General features: G+C 49.2%; 1 long non-coding RNA gene across 1 annotated transcript, besides 2 other annotated features; it reads right to left on the reverse strand.

Moving 5' to 3' along the window:
* Positions 1-24,979, reverse strand: SMASR (SMAD3 associated long non-coding RNA). Its single transcript, NR_135687.1, has 3 exons — positions 24,804-24,979; positions 10,364-10,615; positions 1-288 (listed from the first exon to the last, which is right to left on the reverse strand). It is a non-coding gene; the product is annotated as an SMAD3 associated long non-coding RNA (long non-coding RNA).
* Positions 16,615-16,909: a silencer, noted in NCBI's record as "tiled region #9309; K562 Repressive non-DNase unmatched - State 7:EnhWF". NCBI's record gives its function as "represses a minimal TATA promoter and a strong SV40 promoter by Sharpr-MPRA in K562 cells {active_cell/tissue: K562}" and the evidence as "EXISTENCE:reporter gene assay evidence [ECO:0000049][PMID:27701403]".
* Positions 24,410-25,609: an enhancer, noted in NCBI's record as "CDK7 strongly-dependent group 2 enhancer chr15:67248284-67249483 (GRCh37/hg19 assembly coordinates)". NCBI's record gives its function as "activates an origin of replication core promoter dependent on BRD2, BRD4, P300/CBP, MED14 and CDK7 cofactors, with strong dependence on CDK7, by STARR-seq in HCT116 cells {active_cell/tissue: HCT116}" and the evidence as "EXISTENCE:reporter gene assay evidence [ECO:0000049][PMID:35650434]".

Raw genomic sequence — 27,332 nt, forward strand, 5'->3', positions numbered from 1 at the left:
TGTGAAATGGTGAGGCCAATAAGATTTATTTTTCAAATCTTCCCAAGGCTTCTAGTGCCCAGCAGACTGGTTTGCAAACCAGTCTTCTAAAGCAATCTTCTTTCTATCATTAAGGAGCCCATGACACAGAGGTGTTAAGTTCAAGGTCTCTTGGGTCAGCTTTTGGATCCACTGTTCCAAAGGGACAGGTTCTTAGGGGGCTGGCATTTTCTTGGAGTGAAGCAGGAGCTGCTGCAGGGGCTGAGAAAGCAGGAAGGAGCTCTTTGCTGCATTCCAGAGCAGATCTGGCTGTGAATAAACGAGAAAGAGCTTTAGTGTAAGCTGGGCTGAATGGATAATTAAACAGATAGCAAAATGGAATGCAGTTGCACACACCTCCCGGGAGCTGGCTGGGGGGAGATAATATGCCTTCCTGTCGTCAGAAGGCACAGGAGGAAAAACAACTGGGCCTGGCCGTTGGCCATTTAACAATATTGCTTTTGTAAACAAGTTGAAAAATCCAATAACTGTAAAACTTATGGCATGTCCTTAAAAGCCTGTTGCTGTTTTCCCTATAAATGGATGAGCGTTTCCGACTGAAGGTGTTCTAATTAAACAGTCCGCATCCCCAAGGACTGCGAGGTCATCCTAGGGAAGGAGGGTCTGATCCCTCCTCTTGGCGTCAGGACCACAGGTGGGGGTGGCGAGCTCGGGGTGCAGCCAGGCAGTGTTTTGTTTGTTTTGTTAGTCACTGTGCTGGATTGTAGCTGAACAGCTCTCTTCCTTCCTGTTGTCTACAAGGACTCCAAAGAGCAATCCAGCACAAACTCAAAGAAACAAACTCTTAGGATAGAAGCACGGCAGTGAGTGCCCACCAAAGAGGCAGCCCTTCAGGCTGGGAAGAGAGAGAAGTCTGGATCCGTTCATCAGGAAACACTTTGGTGGTGCAAGCAACAGAAAGGTAGAAAGTCTAGTTCTAGGCCTAGAGGAGCTCACAGTCCTGATGGGAAGAGAATGCACTCACACATGCACACTCACGCACACTCTCACACATACACACTCATGCACATGCTCACATGCTCACACTCACACATGCACTCATGCACATGCTCGCACATGCTCACACACACATGCACAGGCTCACAAACTCACATGCACACTCATGCACTCGCTCACACATGCTCACACTTGCACACATGCACAGGCTCACATACACATGCACACTCATGCGCATGCTCACACATGCATATGCTCACATACTCACACATGCACACTCATGCACACGCTCACACACGCTCACACACATGCATATGCTCACACATGCTCACACACATGCATTCACACACATGGTCACACACACCCACATGCATTCACACACACGGTCACACACACCCACATGCACACTCATGTACATGGTCACACACACTCATGCAGGCACACACACGCTCACATACAGTCACACACATGCACAGGATCACACATGCTCCCACTCACACACACTCATGTTCTCTCACACACTCACATGTTCACTCACACACACTCATGCTCACACACACACTCACACTCATACACACACACATCCTAAAAAAGGAATCAAAGGGAAGGAGCCCAGCACTGGTAAGTGGAACCGATAGGTGGTGGTGGGCAGGGGGCAGTGCTCCGGAGCTGGGGGTCTTTGTAAAGGAATCACAGAAAGGGCTGGGTGGGATTCCAAAAGCCACTTGGTGCAAAAGTCAGCTCTCACTTTCTTCCTCCCCTTTTCTCATCTACGTGGAGTGCGGCCACACTTCACAGGTAATGGGCACAGTCCTCTGCAAGACTGTCCTCACTCCAGACATCAGCTGCAAGCTCACGGGTTCCCCAGGCCACCCGCCCTCTAACCAGTTGGCTACAAATTTAGGAGTTCCCATGATCACCCTCAGGTTTGATAATTTGCTAGAAAGACTCACAGGACTCAGAAAGGCACTATATTTAAGATTATAATTTTTTAAACTGTAGTAACATACACATAGCATAAAATTTACCATCTTAGCCATTTTTCGGTGTCCAGTTCAGCAGTGCTAAGCACACTGGCATTGCTGTGCAGCTAATCGTGGGAATGCTTGTCACCTTCCAAAATCGAAACTCTGTACCCATCAAACAACCATTCCCCATCCCTCCTTCCAGCTCCTGGCAACCACCCTGGAACTGTTTCAGTGTCCATAAATTTGACCCCCTAGGTGCCTTGTATAAGTGGAATCCTACAGCATTTGTCTTTTTGGCCATTATAGTTTTATTATAGCAGAAGGTTACAAATCAGAGCCAACCAGAGAGAGAGAGACATGTATGCAAGGTATGGGTGGATTTCAAATGCAAAGCCCCCACTACCCTCAGGGACACATCACCCTCTCAGCTTTGAATGTGGCCAACTCAGAGGACTGCCAACCAGGGCAGCTCACCCAAGCTTCAGTGTCCAGAGTTTTTATTGGAGTTTCATATAGCCATAATTGATGCAATTATTGCCCACATGATGGAATTCAATCTCCAACCCACCTCCCCTCCCCAGAGGTCAGGCTGATGTACTATGACTCAAAGCCCCAGCTCTCTAATGCCATGACTGCTTTTCCTGACATAGACAGTCCTTATCCTGAATTATCTTGTTAGTGTAAATGATGGAGGGGCCCACCTTGAGTCACCTCATCAGCAGAAGCTACTAAGTGTAGTCTAAGAGGCTCACAGTGAATAGAAACAATGGGGCCCTATAACCCTCAAGGGGGGATCAGGGATGTTTTTCTAACAGCTCATAGGCCCTACTGCCTTGGTCGAAGGGTGACCCCCAAATATATTCCCACATCCAGGAACCTGTGAATGTGAGTTTATTTGGAACAAAAGGTCTTTTCAGATGTAATTAAGTTGAGGATCATGCACACACTCACACATACTCACACTAGCACACATGCACAGGCTGACATGCTCACACACACACATGCACTCATGTACATGCTCGCACATGCTCACACTCACACATGCACAGGCTCACACACTCTCACATGCACACTCATGCACACGCTCACACATGCTCTCACACACACACGCACAGACTCACATGCTCACACCATGGGAAGACAGAGGCAGAGACAGGAGTGATGCTGCCAAAAGCCAAGATGCCCGGGGCCACCAGAAGCTGGCGGAGTGAAGGAAGGATTCTCCCCTAGAGCCTTCAGAGGGATCCCAGCCCTGCTGGCCTTGATTTGGGTCTTCTGGCCTCCGGAACTGTGAGGGAATTGATTTCTGTTGCTTTCAGCCACCCAGTTTGTGGCGATTTGTTACAGCAGCCACAGGAAATGAACACAGAGAGCCTAAATGATACCCCTCACAGGCCATGGCCTCCCCTCAAGACAGACCGAAAGAGGGACTAAAGGGACACTGAGGCAGGCACCCAGGCAGAAGGGATATGAGAGGCTGGGGCAGATGGTGGCAGTGGGGCCCACAGGCTTCTCCATCTTCTCCTTGGCAAGAGAAGCCCCCGGCCTCTGTTGCCCACTCTCCTCTGCACAGCCATCTGCTGTGGGAAGAGCTCCATTCTGGTTAGTGAAAGCCATTCATGGTAAACCTGCCTCCTTTGCCAGTGACAAGTTAAGGGGTGGGCATGTGTCCTGGCCAGTAAAATGTGAGAGGAAAGATTTCCTGGTTTTTACAAAGGGGTGTCAGGGAGGAGACAGTTCCTACTCTCTTGGACCTGTCAGGGTGGATGGAGCCACAGCACCCACCTTGTGACCATGAGGGCAGAAAGCTGGCTCACTGAGGAGGGCCAAGGGCAAAACAGGAAAGAACCTGACTCCCTGATGATATTGTCCAGCCCCTGATTCACCAGCCCCGCCCCCTGGGCTTCTTATAGTGGTGATAATTAATTCCTTCTTTTGGGGCCTTTTGGGTCAGACTTTTCTGCTACTTGTGGCCAAAGCACTTTTACTCAATGGTTTTCAAACATTTTTAAATCAAATCTCATTGTGAAAATATTTTACATTGGAATCCAGATCCATACAGAGAACTGAAACAAATAATTCACAAAATAGTGTGTACAACACATTCGGATATTTTCTATCCTTTTTTTTTTTCCTTTTTTAAGTTACTGGTCACAACCTAGCATTTATTGATTGATTTCATGATCCATCAGTGGTCATGACACACAACTGGAAAAGCACTATCTGAAAAAAAAAAAAAAAAAAGAAAGAAAGAAAAAAGAAATATTCACCAAGGAGAGAGAAAAGTAAGTTGCCCCAGTGGAGGCAAAATCATACGGATCCTGCCCCAGACACCAAGATGGTGTCTTGGGGCACCGGTTGGGCACAAAGAAAGACAGGTGTGGAGAGGGACACAGCGGGTGAGTCAGAGAAACAGTGAGACAGAGATGGAGGAAGAGCCCCGCTCAGCCGCAGCTGCACACCCACAGATGCTGGCATGGTCCCCCGAGAAGGGCAGAGTGGGAGGCAGGCAGAATCAAGTGGAAAACACAGAAGACCCGGGTTGGGAAGGAAGAGACAAACAGATACAGGAAATTAAAAGTGAGATGCAGAGACAGAAGTGCAAGCAAGCTGGAAAGTGGAGATTCTAAGGCTGAGACCCAAAGGAGACACACCCCAGACTAAGCCAGAGCATGAGGGGCCTGTGCACCGGCCAGAGTCTTAGTGACCAGAGTCCAGCTGCAGGGCTGGGCTCAGCCACTGATGAGCCTGTGGCCTTGGTCAAGTCACTTCACCTTTCAGCCTCTGCTTCCTTCTCTGGGAAACCCAGCTAGCAGTCCTTCCTTCACACGAGTGTGGAGAAAGTCAGCCTGCAAGGCGAGCACCAGGACTTGACAGTCTCTAAAGGATGGACGGATGTCCGTCCGGAAGGGCAGTCCACGCAGACCCCCGCCCTTGGCCGGACAGAGAGTCTTTCGCTGCCACCCACCCACGGCGTCCCCAGTGTCCCTCTCCCGACAGTCCCCTCCCCCACTTCTCTGCCCATAGGAGGGAAACCCATTTCCCTGGGAACAGCTGTGTTTCCTCAACAAACAAATGTTCTCTTAAAACGTTTTTGAGGAAGAGCGGATGGTAATGAGCAGACATCTGGCCGAGCGGCACACTTTCGTTTTTGGCAGCTCCGGAGCCCGCCAAGTGACTATTCCCTAATGTTCACCACATCCCAGCCCCTGCTATTCCCAATCAGGCTTGTACCACTACGCCTCAATTAAGAGCAGATGTGGGGCTGAGCGAACAAGGAGGAAAAAACACCCTTCCCCAGCGTCCCTCTGCACTGCTCAAAATCCAAGGAAGTGGTCTGAGAACTCGCAGCGGCTCCAGCTTCTGCCTTTCTAATTCATCCATCCATCCATCTGTCCATCTGTCCGTCCGTCTATCCATCCGGCTGCCCCTGCCATGGCCTTTGGGGATACAGATCTGAACGACAGATCCTTTCCCCCTGTCTCCTCGACAGACATTCTTCTTCCCTATAATACAGGCATTGGCAAACAGGCTCTAGGAAGGGCCAGATAAAAAATATCTGGCTTGGCAGCCCACATGGTCTTTGTCACGTCTTCAACTCCACTGTTGCAGTGTGAAAGCAGCCACGGACAATACATAAACAGATGAGCATAGCTGTGTTCCAATAAAACCTTACTTGCCAAAATGGTGGCAGGCTGGATTTAGCCCATGGGTCATCATCTGCTGACCCCTGCTATATGACAACATCTGAAGTTGAGGTAGTCACATCTTGGTGTATCTGCTTTAACTGTCCCTCACCTGCTGCACTGCATGAGCCCTACTACCTCCTCCCCACCCCACTCTCGTGGACTCAATTGATTGGCCCACCCTGGGAAGACACAGGTGGTGATACCTGACCCAAGTTGGGCTACTCAGAGTCTTTCCCCAGGCTAAGGAATTGGACCAAGTGGGTCAGTTGGGTCTGGAGCTAATTTACACTGGGAACCCAGGGACCACCATCTTCTTCCTGCCTCCTAGACAGAGATGCAGAGAAAAATGGGCTGTAGACAGTGCAAAACTGCTTTGGTCTGAATATTTGCCTGTCCCCTAAATTCATGTGTTGAAACCCTCACCCGCAAAGTGATGGTTTCAGGAGGTGGGGCCCGTGGCTAGATCATGAGGGTGGAGCCTTTATAAATGGGATTAGTGCCCTTATAAAGAGACCCCAGAAAGACCCTTGCGCCTTTCATCATGTGAAAATACAGTGAGAAGGTGCCATCTCTGAACCAGAAAGCAGGCCATCATCACCAGATACATAATCTGCCAGCAGCTTGGTCTTGGACTTCCCAGCCTCCAGAACCATGAGAAATAGATCTCTGTTGCTTATAAGCCACCCAGTTTATGGCATTTTGTTATAGCAGCCCCAAGGTTCTAAGACAGGAATGAAATAACCCATGTGGAGAGAGGCTGCCTGGCATCCTAATGCCCTTTCAGACTGTCCCCATCCTGTCCTGAGCCCTGCCTACATTCTGGCCCTGTGTTCCCCAAAGCCCTCTGGATCCTTCTTAAAGAGTCTGCTTTTCTGTTTATACTGGCTTAAGTTGGTGCTTGCTTCAATTAACCAAGCAAGGCTTTCTGAACCACTTTCTGCCTATTCATTCCATTCATACAATTAATTGGCTTTTGTGCCAGGGCTTGCCCTGCAGTAGATACCAATGCAAGTAAGATATGTCCTTGCCCTCCAGCAGCAGATAGGTAACAAAATAGGGGAGCTGGACTTCCGTATTCCTCACTCCTACACAACCCACAATGTACTGATAAGGAGTGCACCAACTGCCAAGGAGGAAGGGGTATGAAGTAGGAGGTAGGGGAAATCTGAGAGCCTTGGCAGAGGAGGGACCATTTGTAGGCCTTGGAAAGTGAGTTGACTTCAGGCAGAAAAATAAAGGGGAGGGGGTGGTGCTTGAGTATAGAGCAACATATTCCAAATTAGGTTCACAGAACACTAATCCCAGAAGGGGTTTTGTGGTATCCATCCTCCCCTTCTTTCTTACGCATAGACCTCAGATTCCATTCAACTGATAATGTACTCCTTAGAAATACTCACTCTCCCAGGCTCCTTTGCAGCTAGAGTGATCAAGTGACATACTTCTGGCCAATGAGATGTAAGCAGAAGTCAGCTGGAGGATGCTTCCAGGATATAAAGGTTCAAACTCACCTTTGCACCTTGCCTTCTCCTTCTTCCTGCCTGGAATGTAGCTGTGGTGCCTGAAAGGGCTGTGGTCGTTTTGCAACCATCAGGATGAAAGCTACATGTTAAGGAGGGCAGAGCAGGAAGCTGGAAGAGTCTGGTTTCCCAGTACCATGACTGAGCCACCACATCAGCCCTGGACTGCTTATTTCTGTACTGGTTCCTGGCCACTACTGAGGGAGGTGGTTCTCTTATTTGCAACTCAACACATTTCTAACCAATGCAATGTTTAATGATAAAAGAGTTCTAAGGACCAAATCAGTTTGTGTATACCAATTTCCACTGCCAGAGATTCATGAAATAGATTATTACAGGTTCTGAGAAACCTTAACATGAAGATCACTGTCTAACCCAATGTTTCCCAAAATGTTTGTTCACCAACACCTCCACTGCCAGGATGCCAATGGGCATGACATGGAACACACTTCAGGAAACAAGCTATAGAGAAAGGAGTATGGGCTTCTGAGTCAAGAAAGATCTGGGTTATAATGCTGTGTGGCTTCAGGCATCTCACATAACCTCTCTGAGCCTGAGGTTCCTACTCCATAAAATGAGGGAGGGACATTACAGGTTACAGGTAATCCAGGTAAAGTGCTCGGCACTGTCTGTGGCTCCTAGTCAGTCGTCAACGATTCTTATTAGCTGCTAGGATCATGTTTTGGAAGGAAGATAGCATCAGAGACAGAAGACCCTGGTTTGAGTGATGGTTTGCCACTTCCTTTCTCTGTGACCCTGGGCCAGTGACTGCACTTCTCCGAACCTCCGTGTTCTGAATGGCAGAGGAGGAATTATAATGTCTACTTGGGCAAGAGGAGATATGTGGAAAAGCCTGGCCCTGGGAGGACATTCCCCTAGTGCAGGAGCCCAGAGCTCTGCCACCAGACCCTGCCTCCAGTCCCTGCAGGCCACCCCTCTGCCCCAAAAAAGGCTACAACATTTGGCTTCTGCCTTTTCATTTGTAAGGCGTCTGCCTCGCCTCCCTGCCCACTTGTCTATCTTCCCTCAGGGATCGCCACTGAACCCTCCTGGTTGCTCCCCAGTGCAGAGCCTCCACTTCAGCCAGCTCTGTCTCCTCAACAGTCACACCTGCAGTGCCCAGTGCAGCCTCCCAGCCTTGGCTCAGGCCAGGGTCCCCTCCAGCCCTCCCAGGCAGCCACATTAAGAGGCTCAAACAAAAGCACAGGTGCGTGGCCTGAAGACCCAGACTGCATCTTCACGCTGTGTGCGAGGCCTTGGGGAAATGGCTTCCCCTCTGAGCCTCAGTTTCCTCCTCTATAAAAAGAAGGGGTTGCAACAAATAGAATTGAAAATGAAGATGATGAGACTTGCTTCACAGAGTTATGAGGAAGATTAAATGAGGAAAAAAAGCATATCTATACGTGCATTGATGATAACATATAATATTCATTGGTTACTATTATTTACATTTTATTTTATCAGCCTTACTTTTGAGGCCTTTCACTCTCCTTAGTTATCCTCTCCCCTCTTCAGAGTGAGCTTGACTTTTTATTTGACATGTGCTGAGTGTTCACTGTGTGCTGGGTACACTGTTTGTATTATCTTATTTCATCTTCCCCCAAATTCTATGAGGTAAATCTTCTGTTTATTCCTATGTTCCAGTTAAGGAAACAAGCTCGGAGAGGCTAAGTCATTGGCTTGGGTCAGATGGCATATATATAGCAGATCTGAGGCTCGAATCCAGGTATTCTGGTGTTAAAGCTTATGCTTCTAACTACAGCACTATCCTGCTTCCCTACTGGCTGTCAAAACCTGTCTATCAATCCTGACTCCAGGCAAATGAGGCAGATATTAACTTGCTCTTCTGTCTCAGGAACAGATCTCATGCCATGTTAGTCATTGACATGTTAGTGTGAACTGAAACCTACTTTCTGAAGTTCTTTTCTGACTCATCACAGGCAGAGGTCCCTGCTGCCTCCTTTGTGCCCCCAAATGTCATGTAATTCCCCAGCATAGCCTTGCCGTGCTGCATGGGACTGGTACCTGTCTGTCCCTCTGAACTGAATTTGTGGATTGGTCAAGGATTATATGTATTCATCTCAGTGTCCCCAGTGACCAACACAGCACCTGCCACTAAGCAGACACCCAATTAAATCTGAAGAATGAACAAATGAAGTGAGTTAATCATACCTCCTAATGAAAGCCATATGCATACGTGAATCTTGAGGCAGTTTTCATTTTAGTGAAATGACAGTGATATGTACTTAGAGTCAGGGCTGGTCCTACCAGGAAGGGGCTATAAATTAGGGAGCCCCCAAAGTTCCCTTCTATTCCCAGAAACGCTCCCTCACCTCATTGCTGCTCACTGTTCTAGCTTTCCTTTCACTGTGGGCAGACTTTCCTTCCCCTGGAAAGCCCTCTCCCTTCCTTTAAACTTCTGTTCAAGTCCCACCTCCTTCCAGAAGTCCTCCACCCAAATCCTGATCCATCCCCCTTGTCTCTGAACTCCCGGATTCGACTGCAGCTCATTTTGTAGCCAGACACTAACAGAAACTAACCATGTATTAAACAGGGAACACATCGGAAGGCTCTTGAGCAGCACTCAGAGCTGACGCGAAGGCGGGAGACCCAGGCATAGGAAGTGCACAGGGGTGAGGGAAGCCAGGCGTTCCGTCCCCAGCTGGATCCACACTGCAGGGATTACCTGGTGAGGTTGCCAGCACTGGCCCTGGGCCTTGCTGCGAGGATGAGTACAGAACTGCCCTTACTTCTTCTCATCACTCACTTATAATCCGCCTCCAGCTTGGAAGAAGCAAAGGGGCCAAGCTTAGATCAGATGTCCACGTCCTCGGCGCAGCAAGGTGGGGCTATGTTCTGTACTGGGCCACACGCCAGGGTGTGTTGCACGAATGCAGCAAGGGCTTGGGACCACTGCTGTCCAACCCTCTGGCTGCCCAGCCTTCATGCCCATCCCTCTGCTGTTCTCATGGTTTGCCGGGGCATGAGAAGTGAGCACATGCAAGAGCTTTTTAGGAGGCAAACTCAGCAAGGCTTGCAGATGAATTGGATATGGGATGAGGGGAAGTACGAAAGCTGCCCGCTGGGTTTCTGGCCTGCAGAGCTAAGGGGATGGAGATGTCATCAGAGGTGGGACCACTCAAAGAGGACTTAGTGTTGGAAACAGGTCAATAGCTCACTCTCCGTACACCCCCTCCAAAGCTCCCAGACTCACCTCTTCACCCAGAACAGTTTCTCCTGGCTGTGCTCCATGCTGTCCTCTGGCCACACCTCTTTACCAGGCCGCTATTTCCCATTTTTGGTTCCCTTTTCCTCAGCAAGGTCTCTCTAGCTTCAGCCATTGGTGCTTTTTCTTTCTTTAGCAATATATAGCCTGTAATCCCAGCACTTTGGGAGGCCAGGGCAGGTGGATCACTTGAGTCCAGGAGTTCAAGACCAGCATGGGCAACCTGGCGAAATCCCACCTCTACAACAACAACAACAAAAAATTAGCCAGGCATGGTGGTGTGAGCCTGTAATCCCAGCTGTTTGGTGAGGCTGAGGTAGGAGGATCGCTTGAGCCTGGGAGGTCAAGGCTGCAGTGAGCCAAGATCGCACCACTGCATTCCAGCCTGGGTAACAGAGCGAGACCACGTCCCAAACAAACAAGCAAACAAAAAACAATACATATAGGCCGGGCACAGTGGCTCACACCTGTAATTCCAGAGCTTTGGGAGGCTGAGGTGGGAGGATTGCTTGAAGCCAGGGGTTGGAGGTTGCAGTGAGTTGCAATCGTGCCACTGCACTCCAGCCTGGGCAACAGAGTGATACTGTCTCAAAAAAAAAAAAAAAAAAAAAAGTCCAGGCATGGTGGTGCAAGCCTGTAATCCCAGCACTTTGGGAGGCCCAGGCAGGTGGATCATGCGGTCAGGAGTTCGAGAGCAGCCTGGACAACATGGTGAAACCCTGTCTCTACTAAAAATACAAAAAGCTGGGCACAGTGGTGCGTGCCTGTAATCCCAGCTACTTGGGAGGCTGAGGGAGGAGAATCACTTGAACCCGGGAGGTAGAGGTTGCAGTGAGCCGAGATTGTGCCACTGCACTCCAGCCTGGGCAACAGAGCAAGACTCCATCTCTGGGAAAAAAAAAAATCCCACATTGTACTTTATTGCGTGTCTACCATGCGCCTGGCACTGTGCTGGGGGCTGAACTCACCTCCCACCCATCCTGCTTATGGGCTGGTGAGGCAGGCGCGAGCTTGCTCATCACAGGCAGAAACTCAGGTCCAAAGCTTAGAAAGAAACTCACCCAAAGGTTCACAGCCAGCCCACAGCAGGGGCCGGACTCAGCCTCACATCTTTGTCCCTTGTCCCAACACAGCCCATCCCACTTGGGGCTGCCTCTCTACAGGCCCTGGGAAGAGAAGCTTTTTCTAATTGGCTAATTCTGTGGAGAAAGTTGAAGGGGTGTTTGGCAGGTAGGGATTGGCGTGAGAGAGGGGTGATGGAGTTTGGCTTCATTCTGGGACCCCCAGGCCAGGCTTCCTTCTGGTGGTGCTTCCCCCGCAGGAAGAGAAAGCATGAGGTCACTTGCACAAAGCCCTCTCTGAAAGCAGCTGCCCAGGCTACCAGAGCCTGCTCTAGAGACAGGCGCCTGAACCCCCAGCAGGGCCAGCTCTGGGGGGCAGGGAAAGGGCCCTGCTCTCCCTCTCTCATCCCCACATCTTAATGCCAGAGCAGGGGCCATAGGGAGAAAGGGGGACTCTGTAACCTGTACAGCATTGAGGGCCCCTTAGGATGGTCAGAGAGGAGAGGGGAGGATGGGGAGAGGAAACCAGAGAGGGATGGAAGTGGCTCCCCACCTCCCTGTCCTGTCTCCCTCCCTCCCTCCCTCTTCTTTCCCTTCAGAATGTAGGAGCCCAGGGCCCCCTGCGGGGTCACAGTGCTAAGCCACGCTACCTGGCTCCAGGCTGCGGCAGGGGGCCTGGTGGGGCTGGTTTGTGTCCATGTCCAGTGTGTGTCAGGGGCAGGGGCAGGGGCAGGGGCAGCTGCCAAGCTGTCTTCCCAACTGCAGCTTCCCCCAGAGCCCGCACCTGCCCTGAGAGACCTGACAGTTCCCTCGGGACACTGAAGAGCCTGAAGATGCAGCTGCTACCTTGATACGAAGCTCTCCCAGCCCACAGCGTCACCATGTGTTCTCTGTAAGTTATGTTTTAAGGTAAGACCTTCTATTTGGACTCAGTGATGTGTGTTAAGCACAAAGCAGCTGCCAGGCTCCCTGCACACACCCATTTGTGGAGTCTGCCAAGGAGGCCAGGGCTGGCGAAGGATTTTCCCTTGCAAAGGAGGACTCTGCACCCGGAGCAACAAGGCCAGGCCCCAGAGGCACTGTGCTGGGCCGGGTGTCACTTGGCACCTTTGCTCTCCCCTGAGGTTCAGAACTGCTTTTCCCAGAACCCCCCTCTCTGTAGGGTTCAAGTTGGCAAGATCTGCAAGGTGGAAGTGAAGTGCAGGGCTTGGGGCCAGGCCAGGGACATGCACAGAGCAGTCCCGGGGCCCTGGCTTGTCCCCGCCCCGGCAGCAAACAGCTCCTGTTTCTGACTGCTGACCCTACCACCCATCAACAACCCCCCGGCTACCACCAGGTGCCTCCACAGGGTCGCGGTCTTCCAGGACTCCTCACGAGCTCTCCCACCACAGCTCCAAAGGCCAGGGCCTGAAACCCAAAGAGGCCCAGGGAATGAGCAGCCGAGCTGGAGTACGGCGCAGGCAGGTCGTGGGGTGTAGTGGCCACAACACAGACAGACAAATCCCAGCCCCGTCACTTACCTGCCTGTAAGAGCTCAGCGGGGTCACGGCTCCCCATGGAGCCTCAGTTTCCCCATCTGAAAAATGCGGGTAATAGTCTCTGTCTACAGAGTGGATGTGAGGGTCTGAGATCCTGTCCCAAAGCACCTGGCCATGGAAGGTACCCCACTCAATGGCACACTTCACAATGACCTCCTGTCATAGAAACACTCATATTTCCTGTTTTCTAGAACATATGCCCTTTGCACATGAATGTACATTTAAAAAATAATAATGAAGAAAAATGAAACTTGAACTCCAAGTCTCTGCTGCGCCCCAAGCCCAGCTTCCTGAAAGCCTGCTCCCTCTCAGAGGAACTCATTGAGTTCCTACAGTTGGTCTGAAGCCTTCTTTACACTTGGGTCTAAGAAATGTCCCAGTCCTTCAGTTTTCTAAATCAAGCTCACCTGTATCCCCATGCCTTCCATCATACCCTCTTTACAAGGGCCAATTTCTTTCTTCTTCTTGGTTTTTTTTTTTTTTTTTTTTTTTTTGGAGACAAGTCTCACTCTGTCGCCCAGGCTGGAGTACAGTGGCATGATCTTGGCTCACTGCAACCTCCACCTCCCAGTTTCAAGTGATTCTCCTGCCTCAGCCTCCCAAGTAGCTGGGATTACAGGCGTCCACCACCATACCTGGCTAATTTTTGTGTTTTTAGTAGAGACGGGGTTTCACCATGTTGGCCAGGCTGATCTCGAACTCCTGACCTCAAGTGATCTGCCCGCCTCAGCCTCCCAAAGTGCTAGGGTTACAGGCGTGAGCCACCGCGCCCGGCCCACAAGGGCCAATTTCTAGAGCATTTCTGCAGCACTCTATATCCCCACCCCTTCTTCAGTCCTATAAGAAGTTGCTCATGGACATGGTGTCCCCGGACATGGGGCAGGGCCGAGCCCATAGCCCAGGCTGTGACATTGACGTTGATGCTGCCCCTTCCTCTGCAAATGTCTGCTACAGGACCTCTGGCCCCTGCAGCATGGAGCCAGCTACTGATATGCTCCAGTCTGCTGGCTATGCCCAGAGCCACCAAAGACCCCTGTCCAGTCCCCTGACCCCCACCACCAGCCCAACAAAGCCCTGCCAGCACTGGGAAGCAGGCACAGGACCCCATCTCTGGAACTCACAACCTCCTCATCTCCTCTCCCAGCAGAGCATCCAGAGCCACCATCTTCTTCCAGGTACTTTTTCACCCTCTCCCTGATCCTGAGGGCACCCTATCCCCCCAGGCCTGCCCGCACCCCAGGAAAAGCCAGATCCACCCTAAGATGACCAAATCTGGTGGCAGCCCCCAAAACACAAACGCTGTCACTCTTGCTCACCCCTCACCCACCTCTGCCCCACCCTAGCACTCAAAGGCTTGGATTTCCCTTTCCAAAAAGAGGGACTGAGATGCTGCTTTCATTTTCCTCCATCACAAAACTAAACTATGATCTTAAATATCTTTTTCAACAATTCACTTTGTAACCTACACGCTCAGGCCCCTGGGGCCCAGCTGCCTGCCCAAGATCCTGGAGTTTCAGAGAAAGAGCTGCTGCCCTGCTAGCTGGCCACCAAGTGCCCAGCCCCCAAAGGTGGACTTAGCTCCCCTCTCAGATCGGACTCACTCTCTGTGATTTGTTAACGGTGACACTAACATGAGTTTGCATTCATTGCTCTGACAAGGGTCATGTCCAAAGTGGAATGGGTGGGAATAAACGATTCAAAAATCCATTAGGAAGTGAGCCCACAGGTGGCAGAGTGACTGTGTGATTTCTCATTCACCCGGGATATCGTCTATACTTGGTAGGGTGACCGGATGATGTATTTTCTGAACAGAGACAGTTGTGAGCAAGAACGAGGGGTCATTAGTAATTACGCCGGGCAGCAGGTGTAAATCAGGCTTTCCCCAGGTGCCTCGGACATGTGGTCACCCATTAATTGGAAACTGGGACCCATTTTTTTCCTCTCATTAGCTCCCGTGAAAGTCTGGGCAAGTCTCATGGTTTCCAATGCAGAAATGAAGAAACGGAAGTTACAAGCAGGGAGGTGATGTGCCCAAGGCTGGGCAGAGGTTAGGGCCCTTCCCGCTGGGCTCCGTCCTCTGCAGCCCTTGTGGCTGGCCCAGCCCCTCATCACCGTGGCTCACAGCTTACTTCATGTCCAGAGAACCTACAAGGGGTATACCCCTCAGGGCAGTTCCCAGCGGCAGGGCCAGAAAGGGATTCTGGAACTCTGGAGGCTGAAGACACAGGTATCTTTATGATCTAGGTGAGGAGAAACCCTGGCCAGAGACAAGGGGTTGGATGAGATGACCTCTGAGGACATCTACAGCTGTAGAAGAGGAACCAGGTGTCAGACCCCACTTGGACCTTCGTGCTGCATTGTGCCTGAATAACCACACGAGGGCGCCCTCGCACCAACAAAGAAACATGCCTTCAAACGTTCTCCCAAAGCTAGAGCGAAGGCCCTTTCACTTTTTGTTACCTGTTAAGTTTTAATTATTTTTCATTTTGAAATAATGTCATACATGCAGAAAAGTTGTAAGTACAGTACAAGTAATTCTCCCCCTCTCCCCGAACCATTAAGAGTAACTTGCTGAAATCACTCCCCAGGTTCACCAAATTCTTTTTTTTTTTAGATGGAGTCTCGCTCTGTCGCCCAGGCTAGAGTGCAATGCCACAATCTTGGCTCACTGCAACCTCTGCCTCCTAGGTTCAAGTAATTCTCCTGCCTCAGCCTCCCAAGTAGCTGGGATTACAGGTGCCCACCACCACGCCCTGCTAATTTTTGTATTTTTAGTAGAGACAGGGTTTCACCATGTTGGACAGGCTGGTCTCAAACTCCTGACCCCAGGTGATCCACCCGCCTCGGTGTCCCAAAGTGCTGGGATTACAGACGTGAGCCACCACGCCTGGCCACCAAATTCTTTAGTGCCTGTTTCCTGTAAATAAAGTTATCTTCTAACTAACCTCTCTATAGCCACCAAAATCAGCAAATAAACAGTGAAGCATCACTGCCACGTAATCTCCAGGTGCCGCACTGTTTTGCCATTTTCCCCATGATGTTCTTTGTAGCAAAGAATGCAGGTCAGAATCATGCTTCTCGTAGTTGTCAAGTCCCCAGTCGGCTTCTGTTTACAACAGCTCCTTGGCATTTCCTTGACGTTCCCACCACCGCGCTATTGTGGGATGTCCCTCAGTCTGGGGTTGTCTGATGTTTCTCATGACTAGATTCAGGTCCTGCATCTCTGGCGGGAATTCCGCAGGGCTGTTCTGTGATGCTGTCTCTTTGCTGCAACCCACAGGCGGGGCAGGGTTTCCATGTGTTCCATTCCTGTTGATGTCCATCCCGATCACTCGATGAGGGTGGCATCTGCCAGACTTCTCCCTGAGACTTATTCTTTCGCTCTTTGTAATTGGTATGTATTTTCGTGGGAGGCCCTTTGATACTATGTAACTATCCTGTTCAATTTATTCCTTTATTTATTCATGCGAATATGGACTCATGGTTTCTTATTTTACTCAATGGATTAAAACCTGTTACCGACATTACATATTTTGGTGCTACCAATGGGAGCCCCTTTGGGGTGGTGCCTGTGCCCTTTTGACATGTCCCCATCATTCTGTGAGCACTTCCTTGCTTTCTGGCCCCACAAGATGCTCCAAACTCATCTTGCACTTTCTCTGCCCCAGTTCTGAATCAGTCGTTTCTCCAGGGAGTCCTGGTCTACAAGGCATTTCAGAGATCTTCAAGGGAAGCTCAGACCTAGACGCCGAAGTATCCAGAGAGGCGCCTGTGGGACCTCTGCACTTGCTGCCCAGGGCTGCCTCAGGACTCCGCTCCTTGTATTCTGGTGCAGTGCCCCTTGGCTGTCCCAGCAATGACTCAACCAGGCCCAGTGGCAGCTCGTGCTGCAGCTCTGAAAGGCACAGTAACCCTTGGAAGCAACCACATCATGCTGACTCTGCAGATGCATGGAGTGCATGAGCTGTGGGGCCCTGGAGGCCTCCATCTAGATTTCAGAAGATGTCATGTGATAGCCTGAGGGCCTAGATAGAAACCTGCCACAGGGGCAGAGCTGCCACAGCCACCACAGAAAGTCCCACTAGTGCAATGCCTACTGGAGCCATGAGGGTGGAGCCACTCCTGAGACCCAGAATGACAGAGCTACCAGTGTGCATCACATTCCCAGGAGGGCTGCAGGCACAAAACTCCAATCCATAGAGCCGCATTGTAGGCTGAGCCCAGCAAAGCATAAGAGTGGGGCTGCCCAAGGCCTTGGGGGCCCAACCCTACTCCAGTATGCTCAGAAGTTGGGACATGGAGTCAAAGATTATTTTCCACTTTAAGATTTAACATGCCCCTTGTTGGGTAGTGGACTTACCTGGGACCAGTTACCTCTCTTTTCTTGCCTATTTCTCCCTCTTGGAATGGCAATGTCTACCCTATGTCTGTCCTACCATTGTATTTTCGAAGCACATAACTTGTCTAATCTCATAGGCTCACAGCTGGAGAAGAACTTGTTTCAGAATTCATCATGCCTTTAGTTTTACCCATATCTGATTTAGATGAGACTCTGGACTTTTGGGGCTATTGTGATGGAATGAAATTTGTATGTGAGGACATGAATTTTGGAAGCCAGGGGCAGAATTCCGTGGTTTGAATGTGTCTCCCAAATTTCACGTGTTGGAAAGTTAATCCTCAGTGCAACAGTGTTAAGAGGTGAGACCTTTAAGAGGTGATTAGGCTGTGAGGGCTCTGTTGTCATGAATGGATTAATGTTGTTATCATGGGATTGGGTTTATTATCGTAGGAGTGGTATCCTTATTAAAAAATCAGCTCAGCCCCCTTCCTTCTCTTTCTCAAGCGCTCTCTCACCCGTGTGCTGCCTCCCACCATGTTATATCAAGGCAAGAAGCCCCTTACTAGATGCATACCCTTGATTTTAGATCTCCCAGCTTCCAGAACCATGAGCCTTTTTTTCTTTTTTGGGGACGGAGTCTTGCTCTGTCACCCAGGCTGGAGTGCAGTGGCGCAATCTCGGCTCACTGCAAGTTCCGCCTCCCAGGTTCATGCCATTCTTCTGCCTCACACTCCAGAGTAGCTGGGACTACAAGCGCCCGCCACCACGCCCGGCTAAATTTTTTTTTGTATTTTTTAGTAGAGATGGGGTTTCACCGTGTTAGCCAGGATGGTCTCTATCTCCTGACCTTGTGATCTGCCCGCCTCGGCCTCCCAAAGTGGTGGGATTACAGGCGTGAGCCACCGCGCCCGGCCAATAAATTTTTATTCATTATAAATTGCCCAGTCTCAGGTATTCTGTTAAAGCAACAAAACATAGACTCAGACACTGGACCACCCCAGACCCCCAGCTCTAAGAACACACCTACCTACGTTATGCTGCTCCACCTAATGGCTTTTGAACCATTGAGAGGAAGAAAGGAAGTGAAAAGAAAGAGCTATTTTTATAATTTTTTCATAGGATCCTGTTCTTATTTCATGATTATAATCTCATCTGTTAAATTAAGTGTATCCTAAAGGCATCTTCTTACATATTTTAAGTTTGACCTACAGGTTTCTCTGTACATAGTAAACTGCAGCCTAATTGGATGTGTAAACAGACTGTAACCTACTCTTGTGCCAATCACCAAGTTTTGGCCAATTAAAGATGGCCAACTGTTCAAACCATGTTTATATAAGGCAAATGCCAAGCTGTAACCAATCCAGCTGTTTCTGTACCTCACTTCCATTTTCTGTACATCTCTTTCCTTTTTCTGTCCATAAATCTTCTTTGACCAAAAGATGATGCTGGAGCCTCTCTAAACCTATTCTGGTTCCAGGGCTGCCTGATTCATGAATTGTTCCTTGCTTGATTGAACTCTGTTAAGTTTAATTTGTTGAAGGTTTTTCTCATAGCACATCTCATCTATTTCTGGAGTAATAACAAGTTTTCCTTGTTTATTTTGTAATTTCTTCCCTTGCAGAGCCTTATTCCTCCAAATTGCTCTATGTGTCTACATAGAGATCTTTCATGTTAGAGGCTGTCTTCAGCTGCCTGTGAATCTCTGGCTGTGGGCTCATGTGTGACGATGAGGAACGAGCCAGCTAGCTGGAAGTGGGTTGTCAACTGCCGGTGCCCCTGTAAGGAGGTCTGCCGGGTCACCTAGTTGGGGAGCTCCTAAGTCAGCATCCCTTTCTTTTTGAGGTGCTCAAATTCTTCAGGAAGGACTATTCCAGTCTCCTGCCTGAAAGGAGAAGCCTGGCTGCCAGGGCTTGGGTGGAGAATAGGGGTGGAGGGCTAGGAGGGAGGTGGTGTCAGCACCAACACGATACACTCACTCAATTCTCCAGCAGGTGATATGGGACCTCTGCCCTCAACTTTTGCTGGTACCCATCTGTCAAGAGACCCTCCTATATTACCCCTTCAAGAAAATAACCCTCCAATCTTTGAGGGGAGTGAGAGATCTAGCTGTAGACATCAATTTATTTAGAGGTAGAGAATCTGAGATCTGTCTTTTTCTTAAACAGACTTTCAGTCAGTTCCCTTATTTAGCCCCTCTTCATTTCCACTTCCAGAGGCATCTGGAGCCTCCAGTTTCTGAGCCTTCTAAAAATTCTGAATGTAAGCCTGGTTGACTCTTGCTTTTCCCACTACTGGGTAAGTATTCAATTTTCTTGGGTTTCATTTACAGTGGCCCATCTGCTTTCCATCTTCCAATATTTTGTTGCTGTTGTTTCTTCTGCTTCCCAATCTTTACAGATATATAGATATATTTTAAGCCACTATTTACTGTTTTTCTAGTGAGTTCTGAGAGGCAGCAAAAGTAGATGTGGTTGTTCAGTCATCTACTTTTCTAGTCCTAAGGACAGACTGACTCTTTAAAAAAATTTTTTTCCTTTTATTTTTACTTGACACATAATAACTGCACGTATCTATGGGACACAGAATGATATTTCAATACATACATACAATGTGTAATGATCAAATCAGAGTAATTAGCATATGCATCACTTTAAACATTTAGTCTTTCTTTGTGTTGTGAACATTCAAAATCCTCTCTTCTAGTTTTTTGAAAATATACACTAAATTATTGTTAACTGTGTTCACCCTACAGTGCTACAGAACCTTAGAAGGTATTCCTCTCTAGTAGTTGTAACTTTGTATCCATTAACCAACCTCTCCTCTACTCTTCCCAGCCTCTAGTAACCACAGTTCTACTCTCGACTTCTACCAGCTCATTTTTAAACTCCCACATATGAATGAGAACTTGCAGTATTTATTTTTCCATGCATGACTTATTTCACGTAATGTAATGTCCTCCAGGTTAATCCATGTTGCTGCAACAGAAAGGATTCTATTCTTTCGTAGTTCAATATATTCCATTGTGTGTGCCACATTTATCCATTTATCTGTCCATGGACATTTAGGTTGATCCCATATCTTTGCTATTGCGAAAAGTGCTTCAATCCAGTAAACATGAGGGTGCAGATATCTCTTCAATATAGTGATTTATTTTCCTTTGGATAAATGCCCACTAGTGAGATTGCTGGATCATATGGTAGTTCTATTTGTAGGTTTTTGAGGAAGCTCCATACTGTTCTCCATTGTGGCTTTACTAATTTATATTCCCACGAACAGTGTGTAAGAGTTCCCTTTTCTCCACATCCTTGCCAGTATTCATTATTTTTTGTCTTTTGTTAGCATGATAGCCATTCTAACTTGGTGAAGTAATATCTCATTGTGGTTTTGATTTGCATTTCCCTGAGGATTAGTGATGCTGAGCATATTTTCATATACTTCTTGGCCATTTGCGTATCTTCTTTTGAGAAATATCTATGCAGGTTCTCTGATCATTTTAAAATCAGATTTTTTTTTGCTGTTGTGTTGTTTGAGTGCCTTGTATATTTGGTATATGAGTCCCTTACTGGATGAATAGTTTGCAAATGTTTTCTCCCATTCTACAGGTTGTCTCTTCACTGTGGATTATTTCCTTTGCTATACAGAAGCTTTTTTGTCTGATATATTCCCTCTTGTCAATTTTTGTTTTGGTTGCCTGTGCTTTTGAAATCTTACTCATAAAATCTTTGCCTGGACCAATGTCCTAAAGCATTTCTTCTATGTTTTATTCTAGTAGTTTTGTAGTTGTGGGTCTTACATATAAGTCTTTAATCCATTTTGATTTGATTTTTGTATATGGTGAGATAGGAGTCTAGTTTCCTTCCCTTACATGTGGCTATCCAGTTTTCCCAGCACCATTTATTGAAGAGGGTGTTCTTTCCCCAATGTGTGTTCTTTGTGCCTTTCAGACTGACTTTTTGATTGCCATTTGTGTTCATCCCAGCTCCTCAGCTGGACTGTAAGGCTTTGGCTAGACATCTGGGAGAAACTTGGTACCTGTTTGTTGAACAGAAGTGTCCTTTCCACAAAGGATTTGGCCAGGAAGGGTCCTCCCAGCTCAGTGCCACCTCCTCCAGGAAGGCTTCCCTGACCACACCACCTGGAAACACTTTGTCATTTAATCATTCCTTTAACATGCCACAAATTAAAGTGGCCCTAGCCAGGACATCCATCCCAAAGGCCTGCTGACGTCATCCTGTCCCTGGAGACCCTATAACCATCCCCAGGCTGCTTCTGAGCCCCGGGCAGCCTTCTTCAGGGTCATGATGTTGCCAAAGAATGGGCTGAGCTTTGGGGCAACCATGACTGCATTAGCTCCCAGCGTGACTACTCCCTTGTGTGCCCATGGGCAGGCTTCCAACTGCCATGCCCACAAATGTAAGATGGGAATAATAAGTGCTGTTCTTCCCCTGCTCCTGTTTCCAAGTGTTTCTCAGCACCTGAGTGATTGCACGGGGGTCACGTGACTCATTCTGGCCAATGGCTTCTGAGCAAAAATGATGTATGTCATTTCTGGGCTGGCTCATGTAATCACTGATGCAAGGCCCTCCAAGCCTTTTCTCTGCCATGGGGACCAGCCGTGTCTCTGATGGCAGCTGCTCTGCCAGTCTGGGTTGCAGAGTAAGAACAAAGAGGACATGGAACAGAAGTCCCCGCCAGCCTTCAAAAGTCATAAGTGAGAGACAAACCTGGTAGAGGCCATGGAAATGAGAGGTTGCTGGAGCATAACTTAGCTTCCTTCACTGACACACCTGGTGGAGCTGTAAGGAGTCAGTGGTGACCTACGTGAACCCGCACAGGGCTCTGCCTGGCACTACGCAGGTATTCAAGAAATGTTATCTTGTTGGTGGCTCCAGGAGACCTGAGAGGCAGAGACTGTGTGACTCAGGCAGATGTTCCACATCCAGACACAAGAGTCAAAGGTCACTGAGGGGATCGACAGTGGCTCCTCAGGGACAAATAAATACACACTTATTCTGCTCCCAACTCTGGGCTGGGCTTAACCAATGGGTACTGTGCAACCGCCTCTCCGAGGAAGGGAGACTCTCACTGAGTTGATTGATGGGCAGGGGAAAGGCGTGTGATGGGAAGAGAGGGCACGTGATGGCACAGGGGAGACTATGGGGATTGCAGGCTTGCCCCATCCCCACAGCAGAAGGGCAGTGGCGGAGACCTGGGTGAGTGGCAGTGCCCTTTCTGGCTTTTTAACACCTGACTGGAGCTCTCAGATGGGGTGTCCCCACCACTCCCTCACCCAACAGGCTGAGCACAGGCACCTGAAATTAGCCCCATCATCACCGTTAACTGGCAGTTTGACCCTGGGCCTCAATTTTCTCATCTGTAAAATGAGGATCATATACACGCTTGCCCTGTATACCCCACAGGAGCCCTGTGAGACTCAAATATGAAAATGGGTATGACAGGCCTTTTAAAACATGGCAGTTCTTTGAGAATGCAAGTTTATCTCAGAGAGTTAAATCTTACCCTTCCCACGGAGCTGAGCAGAGCAGATCATTTTATCCCCATTTCAGAGACAAGGAAACAGAGGCACAGAGGTTAAGTGACTTGCTCAAGGTCCCACAACCGGTGGGTGGCAGAGCTGGGGTCACGATCTGGGTCCTGTGAGTCTGAATCTAGTCTCTGCTTCCCCAAGTCATCTCCCTACAAAAACCCCCATGGAAAGAAAATCTCTGTGGATCTGAGCCCACTGGAAACGACTTCCCCAGACCTCAGGATCCATTCTTCTGGAAGCAGGTGAGGAGACACGACCCACAGGTACAGATAGGAGTCCTGCCTGTGGCTAACCTGACGCCATGGTGTTCAGGGGACAGAGTGAAGCCCATCATGGCCCGAGGCTGGAGTTGAACAATATGGAGCAGAAACAGCTCACTGGCTGCACCTTCTCACAGTGTCAGGCTCTTTCTGATCATGAAAGTGGCCTTGCCCTCAATTCCAGATGCCGAGGAGCTGGGCGACTCACGGAGCCCTCAATCTACAGTTGTTAAACATGTCAGACCTCCATCTGCTTCCCAGTCTCAGCCTCTGTGCAGCCACCTGTGACTACACCTTCCTTAGTCAAAAAGCAAGTCAATATACTGGGGACATTTGGTGGGTAAAAGCTGTTGAAGATGTTGGGGGGCTGTGTGCTTTTTCTGGCATCAGGATCAAGGTGACTAACGCAGGCATGCATAATCATGGGAACAACCCCTCCTACTTAGGCAGCCTTGATAGTCTTCAAACATTTTTGCACACATGATCTTGTTGATCTCTGCAAGTATTTTATAAGGTGGGGAAGACAGAAATATTCACCCTGGGGCACAGAGAGGCTTATGGGGGCAGAGACAACAAACAGGTGGAGCTCAAGCCATTCCTCAATTCCTTTGCTAGTGGCAGACATCATTAATCAATCATGCCATTCTTTCCAGTTCATCTGGGATGAGGCCTCAGAACGACTCAATACAACCCTTCAGGCAGCCACTACCAATCGATTAAGGATTGCTATCCTAGGTGTAGTAGATGTCAACTACGTGATCAGCTGGGTGACCTTGGGCAATTCTTACTGGTCTTCCCAATGGAAAAACAGGAAGATGGACTAGAAGTCCTGTGTTTCTGTGGAATGGCCTGTTGATAAGTCCTGTTTCATCCTTCTTTGCTTCTTTCCACACAGTGGTAGCTCAGTATCTTGCTACCTCTTGCATGGAATCCCTTGGTGGCCTCCTTTCTGGGCTCTAGTGCATTGTGGAAACTGTTGCCCGTTTACCCTTCTTAACATTGTCTGCTCAAGAACTTCCACAGGGAGGGGAACATCACATGCCGGGGCCTCTCAGGGGGTGGGGGGTAAGGGGAGGTAAAGCATTAGGACAAATACCTAATGCATGAGGGGCTTAAAACCTAGATGACGGGTTGATGGGTGCAGCAAACCACCACGGCACATGCATGCCTATATAACAAACCTGCAAGTTCTGCACACGTATCCCAGAATTTAAAGTAAAATAATAATAATAAAAAAGAACTTCCAAAGGCTCTCCATGCCCTTCCCAAGAGAGTCCCACTGCAGAGTGGCCATGCTCTGGCCCTTCTCCTCATCTCCAAGGAGATGCCAACTTGGCAACTCAATACCAAGACTCCTCTTTACCCATCTCAGCTTTCAGCCAAAGGGCACATCCATTTGTTCCTGTGTGTGGCCCACACTATCCCCATCCCACCCCCGGGCCTTTGCCCATGCTGTTCCCTGTGCCTGGGGGGGCCTGCCCTCACCACCATTCCTCATGTCTGCTTCTCAAAGCCTCCTCCATCTTAAAGGCTGTCTTAGCCAATGCTACCACCTGCTTGACAACTTCAATGAATTTTCCACAACAGGGGGTACCCACTCCCTCCTCTAAAATATTAGTGCATTTTTTTTCTCTTTCCACATGCCTGTTCCTGCCCCTCCCTCAACCTTCTGACTTACTCACCTAGGAAACTCCAGGTGACTCACAGCCAGCACTCTGGGCAACAAACAGGAGATTGGCCTTCCTTTCCAATAGCAGTCATGATGGAGGCATTTCCCGAGATCTACTATGCACAAGATGCCAGGGTGGTGGGGAGGAGCATCTGGCAGGGGCTCTTGGCAGCCACTGGAGTTCTTTCTCCCTAGGAGGGATGCAGCTATCAGAGGGGTGGCTTTAGTTCTGAAGGGAGATGGGCTTTGCAATGTCTGCACTTCTGAGGGGTATGAGGAGAGGGAAGAGAAAGACTGAGGCCAATGAGGGAACACAGCTCCTTTCTTCTCTCTAGAAAGCCCACGTCTTCCTCCTCTCCAGGAGCCGTCACTAACCATGCACTCTTACAGAGAACTTGCTGGAGAGAGTGAGGACCCAGACCCTGCCTTAACCATAGGAACAAAAGTGACAGACACTCACAGGCCTTAGTGCCCGTGCTCAGGCTATTCCTACTATCAGGGCTGTACTTCCACTCCCTCTCCTCAACCCCTTCTAGGTCCTCCCAGCTCAGTGCCACCTCCTCCAGGAAGGCTTCCCTGACCACCCCACCTGGAAATGGCCTGTGCGCGTGCACTTCCTTAGCCCTTTCACTAAGCCTCTGGTAGAGTATTCAGCCAGTCCCACCTCCCTGTCGTCACTTATGTTCAAGTGACACTGCCATCACCTAGTTCCATAAGGCCTTTGAGGCTAAGGTCTGTTTCTGAGCCTCCCTGACTCCCCTGGGCCTAGACATGCTGACACATTGGGCACCCAGAAAAGTCTGCCGTGCAGAATGAACAGTGAGCACCAGGCGTGAGGCAGAGGCTCTGGAGGATGTCTCACGGTGTCCTTTCTGGGAATTTGCCTAACCCTTGCCCTACCTTCCAGGGGAAATGGCCTGGAAAAGCCAGCTGGGCCTCAGAGAGCAGGAGAAAAAGATTTTGGCATCCTCCGCTGCCCCTCCTGGCTGAATACCTTCATGCTGAATCCAAGGGAGTGATCATAAAAACTGGAGCCTCCTTGACTTATTTCTAGGCCAAATCCAGGTGTCTGGGCTTCCCTTCATACCTGCTCTCACACCTGTGACACCAGTGGGCCTCAGGCTATTTCACCTGGAGTAGGGAGGGACCCAAGAAGATGCCAGCTGTGTGGCAGCCCTGGGTTAAATCCTAGCTGTCACTAACCAGCTGGTGACTGTGGGCAAGGGGCTTAGTCTTTCTGAGCCTCCATTTCCTTCCTTTATTTTTTACTTTCATTTTTTGAGACAGGGTTTGGCTCTGTCACCCAGGCTGGAGTGCAGTGGCACAGTCACGGCTCATTGCAGCCTCCACCTGCTGGGCTCAAGCAATCCTCCCACCTCAGCCTCCCAAGTAGCTGGGACTACAGGTGTGCACCAGCACACCTGTCTAAATGTTGTATTTTTTGTAGATATGGGGTCTCACTATGTTGTCTAGGCTGGTCTTGAAATCCTGAGCTGAAACGATCCACCCACTTCAGCCTCCCAAAGTGCTGGGATTACAGGCATGAGCCACCGCGCCAGGCCCCATTTCCTTCCTTCCTTCCTTTATATTTTTATTATTTATTTATTTATTTTATTTTTGAGACAGTCTTACACTGTCACCCAGGCTGGAGTGCAGTGGCGCCGTCTCTGCTCACTGCAACTTCCGCCCTCCCAGGTTCAAGTGATTTTCCTGCCTCAGCCTCCTGAGTAGCTGGAATTACAGGCACCTGCCACCACGCCTGGCTAATTTCTTGTAGTTTTAGTAGAGACGGGGTTTCACCATGTTGGCCAGGCTGATCTTGAACTCCTGACCTCATGATCTGCCTGCTTCGGCCTCCCAAAGTGCTGGGACTACAGGCATGAGCCACCATGCCCAGCCTCCTTCTTTTAAAATGGAGCTAATAATCACAAGAAGACAAACACTGTAGGATTCTACCCACGTGAGGTTCCAAGAGTAATAAATTCATAGAGACAGAAAATAGGATAGTTACTAGGAGCTGGCGGAAGAGAGGATGGGGAGTTGGTGTTTAGTGGGCCCTGAGTTTCAGTTTTTGCGATGATGGAAAGTTCTGCAGATGGAGGGTGGTGATGGTTGTATGGCAATGTGAATGCTCTTTCTACTGAACTGTACGCTTAGAAATGGTTATGAGGGGCTGGGCGCGGTGGCTCATGCATGTAATCCCCAGCACTTCGGAGGCTGAGGTGGGCGGATCACGAGTTCAGGAGATCGAGACCTTCCTGGCCAACACAGTGAAACCCCGTCTCTACTAAAAATACAAAGAATTAGCCGGGCGTGGTGGCATGCACCTATAATCCCAGCTACTCAGGAGGCTGAGGCAGGAGAATCGCTTGAACCGCAGAGGTGGAGGTTGCAATGAGCTGAAATTGCGCCATTGCACTCCAGGCTGGGCGAAAGAGCGAGACTTTGTCTCAAAAAAAAAAAAAAAAAAGAAAAGAAATGGTTATGAAGATAAATTCTTGGTTACATGTATTTTATCCCAATTAAACATTTTCAAAAATCT

The sequence above is a fragment of the Homo sapiens genome, chromosome 15 (genome assembly GCF_000001405.40).
Source record: "Homo sapiens chromosome 15, GRCh38.p14 Primary Assembly".
Taxonomy (NCBI): Eukaryota; Metazoa; Chordata; class Mammalia; order Primates; family Hominidae; genus Homo; species Homo sapiens.